The following is a 20,077-nucleotide window of genomic DNA, read 5'->3' on the forward strand; positions in this document are numbered from 1 at the left end:
TCTTCAGCACATTATATCTCTTCAGCACATCGTTTAAGAGCATCGTCTTTAATAATTCTTACATGGGGCCCGCACGGTGGCTCACGCCTGTAATCCCAGCACTTTGGGAGGCCAAGGCGGGCGGATCACGATGTCGGGAGTTCGAAACCAGCCTGACCAACATGGTGAAACCCCGTCTCTACTAAAAATACAAAAAAGTTAGCTGGGTGTGGTGGCACATGCCTGTAATCCCAGCTACTCCGGAAGCTAAGGCAGAAGAATTGCTTGAACCCGGGAGGTGGAGGTTGCAGTGAGCTGAGATCGCGCCATTGCACTCCAGCCTAGGCGACAGAGTGAGACTCCATCTCAAAAAAAAAATTCTTACATGGGACAAAAATCACTATCCTATGTCAATTGAAATAAAGGCCATTAGTTTTTAACACTGTATAAATTGCCTTTTCTCCTGGGAACTTCAGCATATTCTTTTAAATTATTAGCATTTTATAATCATAGAACGATGGCATAGAGGGAACCTACAGGGTGTCCAGCATTGCATTACAGTTCCCTGATGAAGAGCATGGTTCTTGGGGTCTGGCCATCCCATCAGGATTTGTATATTTTGCTCTGCCGCATACCAGCTCTGGGAACCTAGAGAAGGCCTTAACCATTTTCCGTGTTGGTTTCCTCGCTTGCACGATGGTGTTAATCATAATAACTGCTTCACAGGCGTGTTTTGTCTGCTGCATGGTAGTCATTCATTAAATGTGAGTATCCAAGCTCCCATCCCAAACTGCCAGAAGGGAAAAGTAAAACTTACACTTTTAGACAGCGACCTCCTGACTCCAGGGTTCATTCCATCTCATTAACAGTCAGTTCATTCATTTTTCATTTCCTTATCCATCCACCTGTTTGTTTATCCACTCATCTACCTGTCCAGCATTTCTTTGGCCTTCACCGTACATTCGTGTGTCTAGACTTGGTGGTGGGGATGTAAAGATGACTAAGACGCAGCCCTTGCCCTCAAGTCCCTCCCAGTCTGGTGGGGGGGGTGGGTACAGAAGCCACGTGGTAAGTGCAGAGTTAGGACACTTGGGGAGCAGCCAGCATGGCTCCGGGCTGCTGGAACATTGCATCTTTCTTTTCTTACAGGCCCCGCCTAAGAAGTGTCATGGCTGGGAGGGAGTCGGAAGGGGTAGCTTCCTAGAAGGGGTGATGATGGAGAGGAGTTAGTGAGAGAAGACTGAGGAAGGTGAGGAATCTCATAGCTAGAGACCAGAAACGGCCTTGAGGGGCTGCAGGAACCCAAAGAAATGCAGCATTGACAGACAGGAGGTGTCCAAAGTGGGTGGCCCAGCTGGGCATGGTGGCTCACACCTGTAATGCCAGCAATTTAGGAGGCCGAGGCGGGCAGATCACCTGAGGTCAGGAGTTCAAGACCAGCCTGGCCAACATGGTGAAACCCCATCTCTACTAAAAATACAAAAATTAGCCAGATGTGGTTGTATGCGCCTGTAATTCCAGCTACTTGGGAGGCTGAGGCAGGAGAATTGCTTGAACCCAGGAGGCGGAGGTTGCAGGGAGCCGATATTGCATCACTGCGCTCCAGCCTGGGTGACAGAGCGAGACTCCATCTCAAAAAACAAAAACAAAAACAAAACAAAGAGGGTGGCCCACCACATCAATTTCACAAGAAGTGAAATAACAATGTAAGATTTATATGTCAGTTTTAACAAGTGATGATACCGTGTAATACATCAGTATAGCAGTACGATAGCCATGTTCATAGCAGCCTTATTCACAATAGCTAAAATGTAGAAGCTACCCAAGTGTCTGCTGACACATGAATGACTAAGCAAAATGTGGTATATCCATGCAATGGAATAGTATCCAGCCCTAAAAAAAGGAGATTCAGGCACAGGCTATGACCTGGATGAACCCTGAGGACATTATGCCAAGTGAAATAAGCCAGTCACAAAGACAAATATTATATGATTCTGGTGATATGAGATACTTAGTGTAGTGAGATTCATAGACATAGAAAGTAGGATGGTGGTTACCAAGAATTGGGGAAGATGAAAAGAATTCTGCATATGGAAGGTGGTGGTGGTTGCACAATGGTGGGGGCGTACATAATGTCACTGAGCTGCACGCTGAAAAATTATTATGAGAGGTCAATGTTATGTTGTTTTACTGGGCGCACACACACGGAAAGTAGTATAAGTTGTGTCACAAAATTGTATTTGACGGAAGTGATATCCCTGTGCACTGGTCGCCCAGTGACGGCTCATGAGGGTAATCATGGTAATACGTACAATCTGGCCACCAGAGACTCCCAAGCACGTTACAAGCAGTCTCACGTTTGATCCACCCTATGAGACAGGCCACTTTACGGGTAAAGAAGCTCAGTGAGGTTAGATGCCTGGAGACGCGGGCCGGGGAGGCTGTGGTCCTGCACTCACTGCACAGCCCTTCCTGCTCCCCGGCCTCCCTGTGAGGCTCACTGCAGTCCCTTGGAGGGAAAGGGGATGCTATTGAGAATTGGGGCCAGGTGAATGGCTATAGAGGGATGCAGGAGTCCCCCCCACCTTTTTCTCTCCTTTCTCTTACTTCCACGGACCTTCTGAGAATAGGGCTGGCCCTGGCAGCCAAGAGCCCCTTAGCTCCTCCCTCTGCATTTGCCGTGGTACGACGTGTGACACGGGCCAGACCCACGCTGCTCTGTTCTGCAGGACTCAGTGCAAGACAGCTCTTTTATTTGTGCCTGTGGTCGTTAGAAAAGTTTTACACGGGCAGGGCAGTCGTCATCACTAAGTAAACACATTGAGCCGGCAAATCAGTCTTTGTGAGAGCAGCACATTAAATGGTTCCCTGCATAGTAGTTACTGATACATTACTATAATTACATCGCACATTTTGCAGTAAACTCCAAAAAAATGATTTATTATCTCTTGGGTGCTTGACAGCAATATGCTCAATGGCAGCATAACTTTTCCAAATCTGCCCACACATTTTATGTGTATGACTCTTTTGGAATTAGACCAAATGGACCCTTTTAAAGATCTGCTGAGTTAACACCACCTTATATTTATATGGCTGCGTTCTTCAGGCCACACTGTACTGGGTCATTGCCACTATTTTCCCACCTTTCTCTTTACACCCCTTTAAGGAGTATCATGGCCAGATGTGGCGTGGTGTCTCTTAAATTCACTTAATAGACAAAAGAGAAGGACATCTCTAACAGTAATACAAGAAAAAAAAAGAGAGAGAAGGACAGAGAGACCAAGAAACTCTTTTTTTACTCCTATTCAGCAACTATGTATGTACTTATTTATTTATTTATTTATTTACTGAGACAGAACCTTGCTCTGTCATCCGGGCTGGAGTGCAGTGGTGCAATCATAGCTCGCTGTAACCTCAAACTCCTGGGCTCAAACGATCCTCTCGCCACAGCCTCCCAAGTAGCTGGGACTGCAGGCATGTGCCACCACACCTGGCCCCTCAGCAACTATTTTTACAGTATCGACTCTGTGTCAGGCGCTGTTCTAGGCTCTGGACGCTTGATGAGTGTCACCAGTGAGCTTAGGACAGAGCTGACGTCTTCTGCCTATTCTTTGGCTTTACTCCCCATAGGGCTTTTCTGGAGAAGGGCCCTTTGGAGCTTGTGGGATTTCAGGGTTTATTGAAATTTATTTACCTTTTTGCAGGTGTCTCATGCTTCCTCGGTTAAGGAATGGGAATTATCATAATGTATACCATGGTGTCTGGCCACAGATGAAGTACCACAGTCATCAGATTATGAAGCCTCCAAGCTTCTCTTGCAGAGGACTCCTTCAAACCACTCTCGTGGACTGTGGCTAACTGGGAGTTTCTCCTGGGGGCCCATTGCTCATTCCTTGCTGTCTCTCCCGGTTGAGACTTCCCACCAGGGTGAAAAGCTAGAACAGTGGCTTTTGTCTTTAGCAAGGCCATTAGATGGTACAGTAACTGCTTTCAGATGCTGCTGATGTGGCCCAGATTCAGCATAGTGACCCAGAGGTGAAAGGCTACATATTCCATTACAACCCCTAGCCAATCTGCCTCCAGACTCTAGTGCATTTCAGTAGAGAAAGGAAGGAGGATAGGGTGACATACACACTAGATAGCAGCTAGAAGTAAGTCTGGGAAAATCTAAGAATGGAGCTTCAATTTCTAGAGATGCTTTTGTAAAGTGCATTACTTATGTGCTGTGAACGTGATCATGATGGATTATTCAGGTAAGGTGGAGACGAGAACACAGAGAATCAGAACAGGGAACTTGGAAGAGGCAAAGTAAACAGGCATGGTTGCCTGTTTATTTTGAGGTTTCGGGTGGCTATTAGCCCTACAAATGCCAGCTAAGGGCAAATTTCTGTTGGTTGAGATTCTTTGAGATTCTGTCAATGCAAGATTTTTTAAAAAGCAAGTATAAAAGATGAGAAGATGCAGTTTTGTGGCAAAGCGTAGAAAGTCACTAAGTCCACACATGATTAAAAATAGTGAAGAGACCATAATTCAAGTCATATGATCTCTTTTATTGTAATCATATTTACTCAAAAGCCTCTTCGTTTGTTCCATTTCTAATTGTTTTCTCTTCTTGTGTAGAGTTAAAAGAGTCACGGGCTTTATTGAAGGGTGGAGAAATTTTATTTTCAGAAATTTTGCCTCAATGTTTATTCCCTGTGAGACACTGACATTTTCTTCTCAAAACATATATATCTATATCTATATCTATATATTTAGATGTCTATATATATAGATATCTATATCTATATATATAGACATCTATATATATAGATATAGATATATAGATATAGATATAGATATTTTTTTTGAGACAGAGTCTCACTCTTGTTGCCCAGGCTGGGGAACGAGCTCAGCTCACTGCAACCTCTGCCTCCCGGGTTCAAGCGATTCTCCTGCCTCAGCCTCCCGAGTAGCTGGGATTACATGCATGAGTCACCACGCCCAGCTAATTTTGTATTTTTAGTAGAGACGGGGTTTCTCCATGTTGGTCAGGCTGGTCTTGAACTTCTGATCTCAGGTGATCCGCCTGCCTCAGCCTCCCAAAGTGCTGGGATTACAGGCGTGAGCCTTGTAATTACAGGTGCCTTGAAGGCGCCTGGCCTTCAAAACATATTTGTTTAGGGAAAAGTAGTGTCAGATCTATGAAGGTCATACTGGAAGTTGCTAATAAGTAGAATGCCATATTTCATGGAAGGAGACCAGAGTTCAGGAAGCATCCTTCCCACAGGGTCTATCATGGGATTTAGTTCCTTCTTTTTCTGCATCCCAGATGTTCCTGGAGGTGCATACTTGCTGGTAAGCCTGGAGTTGGAGGGATGAAAGCTACCAAAGGCCCTGATGGGTGTTATATAAGATGCCACGTGTGAGCCACTCCCCACAAGACGCCAACAAGCAGGGAACCTAGTTCAGCACTTTCATACCCAGTCTAAAGGCTTCTAGGAAACTGTGGGTCAGCTGGCCCACTCCTATTAACCATGCCTTCATCTGTAGTGGAAGGAACATGGCTCACAGGATGGGCTAGCAGGCGATGGGGCCTTTGACTTTCAGATTAGTCTTCCTGCGACTTTTAACGGTCATGTTTACTTTTGAATATAACCTGGGATGAAGCATTTATCAGCCTCTGGTACTTTTGTGAATTGGTAGTTTACAGCGGGCTTACTGGTAGCCTTGGCCAGCTCTTTGCCATAAAATCTTTAAGCATAGACACACAGGGGTATGGCCATTCCCTTTATTTTTAATTAATTAAGTAGTTTCTAGAGGGAGGGTTTCGTTCTGTCGCCTCGACTGGAGTGCAGCAGCATGATCCTAGCTCACTGCAGCCTCAACTCTCTGGCTCAAGCGATCTGCTTGCCTCAGCCTCCTGAGTAGCTGGGACTACAGGTGTGTGCCATCATGCCTAGCTATTTTTTAAATTGCTTGTAAAGATGGGGTCTTATTGTGTTGCCCAGGCTGGCCTCAGATGCCTGGCCTCACGCCTCCTGCCTTGGCCTCTCAAAGTGCTGGGATTATAGGTATGAGTCACTACATCTGGCCCATGAGTCACTGCACCTGTCCCATTCCCCCTGCCTTTATTGATTCCTACTTCCGCCTAGGATAACACTATCTCTTAAAAGAGTGTTGCCAAGAAACCCCATTTTTTTACATTCTATATTGTATTTTAAAGAGGAAACCCTATTTAGAGATATTTTTGTGGGAATGGTTTTGGAGTTTCAAACTTCTGAAGAACCTGGACTATGTTGGGGGCATTTACGGTGGCAGTGCACACGGCTCACACTGACGAATGGCTCGGCTGAGCAAGCCAGTGAAGCAGAGGGCAGGAGAGGTGACTTCCTGGCATCCTGGATCTCTGCAAATGAAGTTGCTGTAGCGCCATTATTTACCTCACTGTATGTGAAATGAAGGGGTAGGATTCATTGCCTTTTGGTTTTGATTTTACTTGTCCTTAGGGGTGTGTGTGTGTGTGTGTGTGTGTGTGTGTCTTTCCCCCTGGCCTTCTGGTGACGGATAATGGTGATGGCAGTTTAGGCCTGTTTCTGATTAGTAAAATGACCCTTCAAATGAGACTAGGAGAAAAATGCTCTCCTGAACCTCTGGAACCCTGGTTTTTCCTATCACAAGTTTAATGGCTTCAGGTCCTATGTTTTTAGCCGAGAAAATGAAAGACTCAGTCAGCGGGGATTAGGGTTTTTTGTTTAGAGAGAAGGTAAAAAGGTTACATGAAGATTTGGTGTGGGTTTAGACTGGGGTTAGCCTCCACGTAGGAAAGGTCTGAAGATCGAGAATGAGGCCAGGTTGTGCAGGTGAGCAGAGCTATCTTTGGCAGCTAGATTGGGATGTTTCTGGGCAGAGATATTTGTCCCTTAGGAGTGTATCAAATCACAGAGGTCACATCTGACTGTCACTGCTTTGTTACAGGAGAAAGACCTGTTCATCAGAATAATTCCTACGCTTTGAGCCACTTATTCAAGTGATGCTAGTCACGTTCAGAAAACAGATAACCTACCATGTGTTTGTGCTGTGCTAGGAGTTCTAGAGCTTTCAAGCACAACCGTATATCCGAGGTTGACTTTGGAGCTGTCATCGTGGGTTTGGGGCTGTATTTTAAAATAAGAGGAGCGGTGTCTTTTGGGCTTTGCTTTTTTTTCAAATGCTTTTTTCTGAGTCCCTTCAGTGATCCATTCTTGAGCTGTCTCTTCAGTCGTCAGTCTCTTGGTAGTCTTTATTCTAAGTTTTTTTCCTTTTTAATTGTAGTAAAATATGTATAGCATAAAATTTCCCATGTTATTCCTTTTTAAGCGTATGGTTCAGTGGCTTTAAGTACCTTCATATCATTGCACGGCCATCGCCACCATCCACCCACTTCCATCATCTCAAACCAAAACTCCAAATGCATTAAGCAATAACTTTTGTTATTAAAGTGTTTAATAATCACTTTGGTGCTGTTTAACCTCTTTACCCTGATTTCCTCCCCCTTTCTTGCTCCTTTTCTAGTAGTTTCTACTAATAGATCACCTGAGTAAGACTGCCCGTGTCAAGCCTGGTGTCACCTTAGGTTTTGGGGATAAAGGCTGGTGGTACCGCCTGTGACGTGGGCTTGCCACATGCAGTGTCTGAGTGGAGGGCAAGTGGGGCCGGCTCTACAGCCATCCGAGCAGACGGGGGCTCTGTCCCTTACTCCTCAGGCACCTGACGTTGGACTTGCCTCTGGGTAAATAATTCTTATCAAGCATTTACTTGGAACAATTCTTAACCATGTTTTTTTTTTTTAAATAATTACTGACATTTGTACTTTAAGCTGTATACAAATGTTCATATTTGACAGATATTCTAAGCATTAGAGATATTTAATGAAAACTTGTAAATAGGCAAAACGACATTTAAAAAGACTGCCCCTGTCTTTGTGAAAGCAGCAAATAGTTCTCTTGGCTCCCATTTCCCCCTCTCCACTCTAAAATATTTTTAAATAAAATAGCGTTTGAAATTCTCCAGAGAATGCTTTAAAGAGAAAGATCCACGTGACCTCATTAAGTCATTCATTCACGTATTCATTTATCACACATTTATCAGGCTCCCAATATGTGCCACTTTCTCTGTGTTAAATACTATGGATTCAAAAACAAAGGAGGCCGGGCGCAGTGGCTCATGCCTGTAATCCTAGTTCTTTGGGAGGCTGAGGCGCGTGGATCACCTGAGGTCAGGAGTTTGAGACCATCCTGGCCAACATGGCGAAACCCTGTCTCTATTAAAAATACAAAAATTAGCCGGGCGTGGTGGTGCGCGCCTGTAGTCCCAGCTACTCGGGAGGCTGAGGCAGGAGAATCACTTGAACCCCAGGAGGTGGAGGTTGCAGTGAGCCGAGATCACGCCACTGCACTCCAGCCTGGGCGACAGAGCGAGACTCCGACTCAAAAACAAAACAAAAACAAAGGAGACCCCAACATTGGTCGTGAGAAGTTTACCAACCAGGAGGGGAGATAAGTGTGTAAACAAGCAAACAACTGTCGTAAAGGCTGTGGCACAAGAGTGGGTGGGTAGAATTCGGGTAATCCAGGAGGTGTCAGAAAGACCAGGGGTGGACCTTTCATCTGAGCCACGAGGACAAGCAGGTGTTTGCTTTGGAGACAGAGGGTGGACAGGATGTTCTGGAGAGCTGCAGTTGCGGGGCAGAGGCAGTGAGGCATGAAGCACCTGGCGCATGGCCTGTGCGGGCCTGGGTGGTGAGGGCAAAGACAGTGAGCAGAGGAGGCAGCGCCTGGGGGGCCTGGCCAGGGACCCCACCCCCTGCATCCTGATGAAGAACTGTAAGAGGACCATGTCTGTGTGCCTGGATAATCGCTGGCAGCAGCAAGGGAATTTCGAAGCAAGATCTCAGCTGGAGACAGGCAAGAGGCTGTCGCCATGCTTTTAAAGAAGTATCAGAGATATTTTGCTTTTGAAACATTTGGCTTCACTGGAACTTTCGTCTTCCTATGAAATATTGGAGGATGTCAGATCCTCCCCCATTTCTAAGAGTAGGAGAGACTCATGTATCTTTCTCTTTGGGGTAAACATTCAGCTTCAGATCCTGCAGGTAGCAGAGAGAGAGAGAGAGAGAGAGAGGAGTGGTTAAGAGTGTGGCCATTGGAGTCCAGGGAGTCTGCGTTCTAATTCTGGCTCTCCTCTTAAATAGTCCTGCAGCTTGGGCAACTTACTCAACTGTGTCCTTCCTCAACTTCCACATCTGTAAAATGGGGAGAACACCTTCCTTTCAGGGTTATAGGCAAATGAGGTAATAATCTCTTTTAAAATACTTAGCCCAAGTAAATGCTCAGTAGGTGCTAGCTATCATCTCCAGTTTCTATTTCCTGAACTGTGACCTTGACTAAATGTGGCCCAGTCCTTTAAGAGAGGGGATTTGTGGTCACTTTAAAAAAATCTTCAGCTGTGCTCATGTGGTCCGGAGTACTGTGTTAGTTTTCCTGCCTGTGGCTCATGGGCCAGTGGTCACCATGGAAATGGTGGTGGTGGGGGTAGGGGTGGGGGAAGAGAAGGAAGCCGAGCTACAGAGACATTCATACACTTGTTCGTGACCACAGCAGGATTTGGGGTCCTTCTAGAGTCACTGCTGCAGGATTCTTTTTGTTTTTTTCTTTTTTAGAGGTGGGGCCTTGCTCTGTCACCCTGGCTAGAGTGCTGTGAAACGATCACAGTCCACTGTAACCTTGAACACCAACTGCAGGATTCCTATTCTCTTTTGTGGGCAAGATAGGGTGGGGGACATTGTGCACCCCCTTCTTCTCTGTCCCAGTCTGTGACAGACCCTGTCAGACATTGAGAGGCCTGAGAGCTGCAACAGTGGTTGTGCCAGAGAGGAATTTGCCAAAGCTCTCAGCGACCTTTCTGCATTAAAGTTTCGTGCCATTATCTCTTTCACATACAAATTCAAGCCCTTTTTTTTCCCTTGAAATCACTTTTGTGCTGTTTAACCTCTTTACCCCGATTTCCCCCCCTTCTTTCTTGCTCCCTTTCTAGTAGTTTCCAGCTAATGGATCACCTGGATAAGATTGCCCCTGTCTTTGTGAGAGCAGCAATTAGCTCTCACCCTGAGAAGGCGGCGTGTTCTGTTGCTTGGCAGCCTTGGTGTAGAGGATGGATTGGGTCTGCGTCTTTTCATTTGAAAGTAGGTTATCGATTAGCACGGATGCCAATTTACTACAGAGGCTGTTGCCAATGCCTCTTGATCTCATTATGGTGTAAATTTTCAAGATTGTATCACATTAGCTCAGGAGAATTCAGGAGAGAAAAACGTAGTAAAGTTAAAAAAAAAAAAGCCAAAAAAAAAAATTCTTCCATTATATTATAGCCCAGGCAAAAATAAACATGGCTACAGCTGGCCATGTTCGGAAAGGACCTGCGGTGTGTGTGTGGCTGGGTTGGTTATGAGCTGTAGGAAAACCTAGCGACAGGTTTCAAAGTACTTCATGTTTTTGGTTTATTCCTTCGATTTCTTTTAGGACTGATTTTCTTGGGAAATGGTGATTTTTAGGGAAACTGCAGACTGTTGGGTCTATTTTTTTATGACAAGAGCCCTCTAGTCTCAGCTTTGTGAGACAGAAAAAGGAGGCAGGGACAGTGAGATGGCAGAGGAGGAGATGCTGGCGACCGTGCTAATGCTAGCTAATGCTAATTTTGAGGACCAGATAGTTTGGGTGCAGGCCTAACTGTTGTTCAGTTAGGAATCTGAGATCATTCCCTTCCAAAAAGTGGCTTTATTGAGATACAATTTATGTGCCATAAAATTCACCTGTTTTAAACGTGTGCGGGCCTAACTCTTGGCCAATTAGGAATCTGAGATCATTCTTCTATAAAAAATGGCTTTATTGAGACAATTTATGTGCCATGAAATTCACTTGTTTTAAATGTCCAGCTCGGTGCATTTCCATTTATTGCCAGGTCTGCAGCCATCATCACTATCTAATTTTAGAACATTTCTGTCACTCCACAAGGAAATGGCCCATTATCAGTCAGTCTTCACCCTACTCCACTCCCAGGCACAGGAAAAGACTAATCTGCTTTCCGTCTCTGTAGATTTTCCTTTTGTAGCATTTTACATGAACAAAGTCATACAATCTGAGGCCTTTTGCAGATGGCTTCTTTGAGTTGGTACAGTGTTTTCAAGGCTCACCCTGTTGTAGCATGTATCAGTACTTCATTTCTCTTTATTGCCTGGTAATATTCCACTGTATAAACATACCACATGCTGTATATCCATTCACCAGTCGATGGCTATGTGGGCTATTTCTAGTTTTTGGCTATTATGAATAATGCTGTTATGAACATTTGTGTGTCAATTTGTGTGGACATATGGTTTCATTTCTTATGGATAGATGCCTAGGTGTGGAATTGGTAGTTGATATGGCAATTCTATGTTTAACATTTTGAGAAACTTTTTTTTTTGAAATAGAGTCTCACTCTGTCGCCCAGGCTGGAGTGCAGTGGCGCCATCTCGGCTCACTGCAACCTCCACCTCCTGGGTTCAAGTGATTCTCCTGCCCCAGCCTCCCGAGTAGCTGGGATTACAGGCACGTGCCACCATGCCTGGCTAATTTTTTGTATTTTTAGTAGAGACAGGGTTTCACCGTGTTAGCCAGGATGGTCTTGAACCTCTGACCCTCGTGATCCACCCGCCTCGGCCTCCCAAAGTACTGGGATTATAGGCGTGAGCCACCACGCCCGGCCCCATTGAGAAACTTCCAAACTCTTTTCCCAAATGGCAGCACCATTTTATATTCCTCCCAGCAACAGATGAGGCTTTCGATGCTAGTATCACCCTGTAGCTTTGATTTGCATTTCACTAATGACCGATGAGGTATAGCATCTTTTCGTGCTTATTGACCATTCATATATTTTCTTTGGAAAAAACATTTATTCAACCTTTTGGTGTTTTTTAATTGGGCTATTTTTGTTGTTGTTATTGAGTTGTAAGTCTTTAATATATCCTGGGGTATAAGTCTCTTATCAGATATATGATTGGCCAGTATTTTCTCCTGGTCTGTGAGTTATCTTTTCACTTTCTTGATGGTGTTGTTTGAAGCACAATAGTTTTCTGTTTGATGAGATCCAGTTGATCAATTTTTCTTTTATTGCTTTTGGTATCTAAGAAGTTGTCTAATCCAAGATCATGAAGATTTACTTCCAGATTTTTGTCTTAAGAGTTTATAGTTCTGGTTCCAACACTTAGGTCTATGGTCCATTTCGAGTTAAGATCACTCATTTTTCTTGCATAAAGAAATTTTCCAGACTCATTCAGGTTTCAAGAAAATAGACTTAGAATGACCACTGTGGATTTTCTTTTCTGTCCTTCATTTTCTAACAAAGCATATGTAGTGGCCGTCACATGCTGGGTAGAATCAAGATTGCAAAGACTGACGTAAGAATTTGGCACATGAGCAAGCTGGAGTTGGAGATCCTGACAGAATCTCTAACACATCTTCTGAGGGTGGGAGAACTGTCACAGAAGCAACCTGCAGGTGTGAGATGGACTCCAGGGCCTTGGCACTCATCAGAAGAAAGCTTGACCTCCTCACCTGCATGGGGTTGGGGAACAAAGCAAATTAAGCATCAGAGAAAGACCTGGCGGTATGACACGATTAAGCCATAATGGCACCAGGGCACAGCTGCCAAGCAGGTTGTCAGAAGGGCAGACAGAGTGATGGAGTTTTTTGTTGGGGTACTGTCATATAGTTATTTGATGAAGCCATCTCTCTGTTTTTGACTACATTCTTGCTTTCATTGGATTTTTTCCTACATCTTGACCCCTAACCTCCTGCAACAGGTATGGGTGGGAGTTGTTGTTTTTTTTTTTTTTTTTTTGAGCTTTCTTAAGTATACCTGTGGTTTTCCTCCAAGTCCCCCAAGGATCAGTTATAGCTCTGGGAAAGTGGGGGGAAGTGAGATGCTAGACTTATTTTTACCAAAATCCAAGACTAGTGACACAAGGTAGAAGTCACTGGATGGAATGAACTTGTAGGATATTCCCTTTTGGGGCACTAATCACAAAGGCAAATTGAATGGTAGAGTGTCAAGGTGAACTTTAATACTTTGTAACATGAGCTCCAGGCCAGGTCTTAAAACATCTTGGACATATTGCAAGAAATAGCTCAGCCCTATAGCACATTGAATGAGAATGGAGAGTGGATCCTGGGTTGGCTTTAGACTCTGGCCTTGGCGTTTGTGTGTACACATGTGCGTCGTCATCTGTGCACACAGGTACACAAATGTGTCTTTATAATCTCTGGGGAAGCAGGTTCACTTTTAATGTTCTTTCATCTGCTATTTGATTTTAAAATCTTGGGGGAAAGTATTGAAAATCAAATGTACTCATCTGTCCTGTGTAAAAATAGGAGTCAAAATTTTAAAATCTGAATTTATGCAACAAATTAAATATGGAGTGTTACTTCTCATCACAAAATAATCTAGCCATTGTTACCTTCAAGAGAGCAGTTTCTCATTGATGCAATTAAAATGAACTTCTCAGGGATTCTTTTACTATAAACGGAGGTGCACCCAAACCTTATATCTCTGAGAAAACAGTGGCTGTGTAATGAGTGGTGAATTGTTTTTGGCGAGTGTGGCTGCCAGGTTGCTTCCTCCTAAATCTGAGATGGTAGACAGAGGTTTATTATTGCTGTAGCAGATAGAGAGCGTCTTGCTTGCACTGCAGAAGTCTGCCCAGAGCACTTAATTAGACATTTCTGTGGCTATTTGCAGCCCAGTACAATGGGAGATCAGGGGATTCCAGATTGGAATCCTAGACATCCAAATCCATAGTTAGCGTTCAGAGCCAAATTTTTTATTGCTTCTCTGGGATTATGCTAATCATTCAATTCAAATTTATTCAACTCACATTTTTGACATTCTGCTGTGTGCTAAGGTGGTGGAAATACTTTTTTTTTTTTTTTAGACAGAGTCTTGCTCTGTCGCCTAGGCTGGAGTGCAGTGGTGCAATCTTGGTTCACTGCAGCCTCTGCCCCCCGGGTTCCAGCGATTCTCCTGCCTCAGCCTCCCGGGTAGCTGGGATTACAGGCACCCGCCACCACACCTGGCTAGTTTTTGTATTTTTAGTAGAGATGGGGTTTCGCCATGTTGGCCAGGCTGGTCTCGAACTCCTGACCTCAGGTAATCAGGTGGCGGAGATACTTAATGAAACCTGGTTCCAACCTTCAAGAATAGCACAAGGAAGGGAGGGGGGTCTGGATAAAATCGAAAGGTACAAGTTGTGTTGGGACTAAGTGGATCTAAACATGCTTTCTGAGGCTGTCATTACCCCAAAAGTCAGCTTTGTGTCAATCAACAAACACTGTGGTCTGTCTTTTCTCTCAGCAAAGTCTGAAGGAGTGGGACACTCCAACTGTGTGTCACAGGAATGAGCTGTCATCTGGCAATTTACAGACCAGCTTCAAGGATTCCATTTACCACCAGTTTATTCACTTGTATTTCTAATATTTATATTTTCTTAAGATGATCCCCTCTCCCATGTGTGCTAATTTTCTAAATAACAGCCACATCGACAAAATGCCCCCTTTGATGAGTCATGGGCTGAGCTGGGTTCTAGTGATGCTGGCTACAACCTTGAGAGTTAAAGAAAAGCTATTTATATTTTCTTTTTATTATTTTATTTTATTTTATTTTATTTTGAGACAGAGTCTCACTCTGTCGCCCAAGCTGGAGTGCGGTGGCGTGATCTCAGCTCACTGCAACCTCCGCCTCCCGGATTCAAGCAATTCTCCTGCCTCAGCCTCCTGAGTAGCTGGGATTACAGGTGCCCGCCACCACGTCCAGCTAATTTTTGTATTTTTAGTAGAGACGGGGTTTCACCATGTTGGTCAGGCTGGTCTCGAACCCCTTACCTCGTGATCCACCCACCTTGGTCTCCCAAAGTGCTGGGATTACAGGCGTGGGCCACTGCGCCTGGCCCTATATTTTCTTAAGATGGTCCCTTCTCCCACGTGCGCTAATTTTCCAAATAACAGCCACATCAACAGAATGCCCCCTTCGATGAGTCATGGGCCGAGCTGGGTTCTAGTGATGCCGGCTACAGCCTCGACAGTTAAGGAAAAGCCACTTTCGCAAAGAATGGACCCTGCTTCCGTAACCTTGGGTTAAATGTTGTCTGCGAGCACCTTACTGAGTTTCTTCATTTTTTGCTTTATTTGGGTGCAGCTAAACCAGCTAAACAGCCTTAATAAGTTACTCCCTGGGATACAATAAGCTCCCTGCATCTGTGAGGTGAAAGGCAGCCCAGTGAATTCTGTCGACAGTAGCTGTTCTGAGAAAGTGAGCTTGAAAGGGGGTGTAGGAGTCAAAGGTGAGAGGTCATGACGTCAGTAGTCCAAACACCTGGAGGTTTTAGTCTAACTTCCTTTCTTGTTACTTAGCCAGGCAGTAAGTTACGTATCTCTAACTTGGCCTTCTGTAAAGTGGGACTCTTAGTACTTGCCCTGCTTATCTTTCAGACAGAATCAAATGAAATAGCAGAAGTGTTTTGTCAATTAAAGTGACATCAGATGCAAAGAGTATTATTATATCATCATCATCATCATCACCAAAGGAACTATGGTAATGTTGGATAAAAAGCCAAATACTTTTTTTTTTCTTTCTTTCTTTCTTTTTTTTTCTGAGACAGAGTCTCTCTCTGTAGCCCAGGCTGGAGTGCAATGGCGCGATCTTGGCTCACTGCAACTTCCACCTCCTGGATTCAAGTGATTCTCCTGCCTCAGCTTCCAGAGTAGCTGGGACTACAGGCGCGCACCACCACGCTCAGCTAATTTTTGTATTTTTAGTAGAGACAGGGTTTCACCATGTTGGCCAGGATGGTCTCGATCTCTTGACCTCATGATCTGTCCGCCTTGGACTCCCAAAGTGCCGGGATTACAGGTGTGAGCCACTGCACTCAGCCAAGCCAGGTACTTTTCTAAGTAATTTAATTCTCTAGAAGAAAAGATGATAAGATCTTTGCCTGGAACTGGAGGCCATTATCTTAAGTGGAACAAGTCAGACACAAAAAGACAAATACTGCGTGTTCTCACTTATAAGTGGGAGCTAAATAATGTGTACACATGGACAATAGAGAAAGACAGACAGTGGAGATTGCAAAGATGGGGCAGGTTGATGAGGAATGAGAAATTACTGAATGGACACCATGTAGTTTATTCCAGTGATGGATGCATTCAAAGCTCAGACTTCACCAATATGGAATATGTCCATGTAACAAAATTACACTTGGACCCCATACATTTATACAAAAAAAGACCTTTGACACTAGGCATAACTAGTGGTTTGGTTAATGCAGAGGAGTATTGCTGTGGTCGCTTTCTTTTAACCAGCTTGAGAGACAGTACAAGAGAAGGTTCAGGTTCTTGTCTTGACAGAAGTCTCAGTACACCCACCTGTACTTTAGGAGAATGTGGATTGGAAGGCTCTTGGTGTTTCAGTTTTCTGAGTGGGTTTGAGTAATTATGTTGGAGAGGGGGAGGTTGATGAGAGTGTAACACACTTTTCGTGGCTATAAGAGATGATAATAAAGAGTTATTAGAACATTTATTAGACACATGATAGGGAAAGTTGGTTAAGGGCCTTGAAGAACAGGCAAAGGATGTGGAATTCATGTTTTTGAGCTCTAGATGATATGATGAAAATTGTGGTTGAGGATTATTTTTCTGATCTTGAGGAAATTCAAGTTTGAATGATGAGGATGAATGAGGTTAATCAACACTGAAATTGGAATCAGAGGCAAATTCAAGGCCGGGCGCGGTGGCTCATGCCTGTAATCCCAGCACTTTGGGAGGCCGAGGTGGGCGAATCACCTGAGGTCAGGAATTCGAGACCTGCTTAGCCGACATGGCAAAACCCCATCTCTACTAAAAATACAAAAATTAGCCAGGTGTGGTGGCACACGCTTGTAATCCCAGCTACTTGGGAGGCTAAGGCAGGAGAATCACTTGATCCCAGGAGGTGGAGGTTGCAGTGAGCCTGGATCGCACCATTGCACTCCAGTCTGGGCAAGAAGAGTGAAACTCCATCTCCAAAAAAAAAAAAAAAAAAAAAGAGGCAAATTCAAGACACAGTAGAACAGGGGTGTGGTCGGTGAAGCCGGGAGAGTAGGCAGGAAGTGAGGCCAGTTTGGGAACCAGCAAAGCCCACCTCTCTCTCGAATAGCCCCTATTTGTCCCAAGATCTTACTTTCCTACCATCATGTTTGGTTTTGACTGAATAGCTCAATTCAGAGAGACATTTCAACTTTCCCTCTGTGCTTTGCAAACTGATGACGAAGATATGTTTTAAGGAACTAGCTCCCAAGTTAGTTCCTCTTACAAAGATGTACAGATTTTAAAACTGAACATGTGTGTGTTGCTGCTGAGAATGTAAAATCATGCAGCTGCTTTGGAAAATGATACGACAGTTTTTCAAAAAATTAAACAAGGAATTACATATGATTCAGCAGTTCCACTTCTGGTATAAACCCAGTTGAATTGAAAGCAGGGACTCAAACAAATATCTGTACACCCATGTTCGTAGCAACATTATTCACAGTAGCCAAAAGGTGGGAACAGCCCAGTGTCCATCATGGATGGATGAGCAAAATGTGGTCTATGTATTTACAATGGAATATTGTTCAGAAAAGGAGTGAAATTCTGAAACAGGCTACAACATGGATGAACCTTGGAGACATGATGCCAAGTGAAATAAGCCAGTCACAAAGGACAAATGTTGTATGGCTTTGCTTACACGAGGTACATAAAGTAATCAGACTCAGACAGGAAGTAGAATGGTGGTTGTCAGGGGCTGGAGTTGAGGGGAATGGAGAGTTATTGTTTAACATACAGAGTTTCAATTCGGGAAGATGAAAAAGTTCTGGAGATGATGGTGGTGATGGTTGCGTAGCAATGTGAACGTACTGAATGCCACTGCACACTTGAAAGTGGCTAATATAGTCAAGTTTACATGTATTTTACCATAATAAAAATGGTGAACTGTCATTATCTTGCATTGTTGATGCTTTTGTTCAAATCCTGGGAAATATGATATAATAAATCTCTTCTTATGTTATTCCAGGTCTGGAAAGTGAACTCTGGTTAACTTTTCAATATCATTTTCCCCAGGAAAACAAAAGATAATGATGTTTCCTAGGCCAAACACACCTTGTTAACATTTCCATAACAAAACAGCAAACTGTCATTTAAAGTTTATCTCACTGTTATTCTTGAGCCACAAAGAAGCAATGTTTACAGACGATTTTACACTAACAATTGGATGTGCTGGAAATGGGTATTTGGGTGATCTCAGGGTTCGTGAACCTCAGGCTGTGGAGTGTTCTTGTTCTAGATGTCCGCTGAGAGTTTTCTTTCTCAAGGGGCTCCTAAATTAGAGGTAAGCCCCCTACCACCTGTGTGATCCCCCAGAAGTTAGAACCTTGCGCCTTCTCTGTGGCAGGGAGGAGACCTGTCCTCTCTAGAGCTGGAAGGTTGTGTGTTAACAAAGTTGAAGGCAGTCATATTAGTCTGTTTTCACTTTGCTGATAAAGACACACATGAGACTGGGTAATTTATAAAGACAAAGAGGTTTAATGGACTCACAGTTCCATGTGGCTGGGGAGGCCTCACAATCATGGTGGAAGGTGAAAGTCACGTCTTACATGGTGGCAGACAAGAGAGAAAGAGAGTGAAGTGAAAGAGGAGAACTCCTATGAGACCATCAGATCTCGTGAGACTTACTCACTACCGTGAGAACAGTATGGGGGGAAACCACCCCCGTGATTCAATTATCTCCTCCCCGGTCCCTCCCACAACACGTGGGAATTATGGGAGCTACAATTCAAGATGAAATTAACCTATGAAACCATCAGATCTCGTGAGACTTACTACCATGAGAACAGTATGGGGAAACTGCCCCCATGATTCAGTCATCTCCCCCTGGGTCCCTCCCACAGCATGTGGGAATTAAGGGAGCTACAATTCACGATGAAATTTGGGAGGGGACACAGCCAGACCATATCAGCAGCCTATGGGATGTTCCCCCGAGGGCTCCACAGCCGGGTGCTCAGATTGCTGGGACTCTCTTGTCAGGACTTCTTCCTTCTTTTTTGCCTAGGTCTTATCAGAACTAAGCCATTTGGTTTGTAATCTTTCCTGTAACACTGGCTGCAGGGTCTTTAGCCTGGATTCTAGATTGGAGGGTACAGGGCAGCAGCCTCACAGGTGCCCATTAGCACATCCCACAAGCAGTCACGGCACTGCACTTGCACTGGAAACAGCTTCTCATTTTCCCGGGAGTACCTTCTGCCAACTTTGAGAACACCAATTCCTAATTCCTGTTCCAGTATCCACTTTGGTTTTATACATAGGACATCTTTTCCTATAAGTTTTCCCTGAATGTTTTGTTTTGTTTTTTTTTTTTTTTACATTTCTTACAGATGTCTATTAAAATCTCAGCATTCTTATAAAATACTCTTTGATTTGAAGAAAGTAGTCATTTTCCCTTAGGCTTATGATGCCTCAGTCTCCCTATAAGAGATAAGAACCAGGCTGGGCGTGGTGGCTCATGCCTATAATCCCAGCACTTTGGGAAGCCAAGGTGGGTGGATCACCTGAGGTCAGGAGTTCGAGACCAGCCTGACCAAGATGGTGAAACACCATCTCTACTAAAAATACAAAAATTAGCCGGTGTGGTGGCAGGTGCCTGTAGTCCCAGCTACTCGGGAGGCTGAGGCTGGAGAATCGCTTGAACCTGGGAGGCGGAGGTTGCAATGAGCCAAGATCGTGCCACTGCACTCTAGCCTGGGTGACAAGAGCAAGACTCTGTCTCAAAAAAAAAAAAAAAAAAAAAAAAAAAAGAGATAAGAACCAGATATGCATAAATATGAATATTTGTTCATTTGTAATCTGGCTCTTCCTGTGATAAGATGCCACCAATATTTGGGTAGAATGCTGGGGAGAAGTTACCTCCCAACATTGAAAAGAGTAAAATCCCAGCACTTTGGGAGGCCGAGGCGGGCGGATTACCTGAGGTCAGGAGTTCG

General features: G+C 44.3%; 1 protein-coding gene across 1 annotated transcript in view, besides 2 other annotated features; it reads left to right on the forward strand.

Annotated features, from left to right (window-relative positions):
* KIF26B (kinesin family member 26B) overlaps nt 1–20,077 on the forward strand; it is a 554,448-nt gene that overhangs the window by 16,212 nt on the left and 518,159 nt on the right. The window lies entirely within an intron of this gene.
* Nucleotides 8,250–8,750: an enhancer, noted in NCBI's record as "H3K4me1 hESC enhancer chr1:245342748-245343248 (GRCh37/hg19 assembly coordinates)". NCBI's record gives its function as "activates a minimal SCP1, AML or CMV promoter by ChIP-STARR-seq in primed H9 embryonic stem cells {active_cell/tissue: H9 hESC(primed)}" and the evidence as "EXISTENCE:reporter gene assay evidence [ECO:0000049][PMID:30033119]".
* Nucleotides 8,751–9,251: an enhancer, noted in NCBI's record as "H3K4me1 hESC enhancer chr1:245343249-245343749 (GRCh37/hg19 assembly coordinates)". NCBI's record gives its function as "activates a minimal SCP1, AML or CMV promoter by ChIP-STARR-seq in primed H9 embryonic stem cells {active_cell/tissue: H9 hESC(primed)}" and the evidence as "EXISTENCE:reporter gene assay evidence [ECO:0000049][PMID:30033119]".

The sequence above is a fragment of the Homo sapiens genome, chromosome 1 (assembly GCF_000001405.40).
Source record: "Homo sapiens chromosome 1, GRCh38.p14 Primary Assembly".
Taxonomy (NCBI): domain Eukaryota; kingdom Metazoa; phylum Chordata; class Mammalia; order Primates; family Hominidae; genus Homo; species Homo sapiens.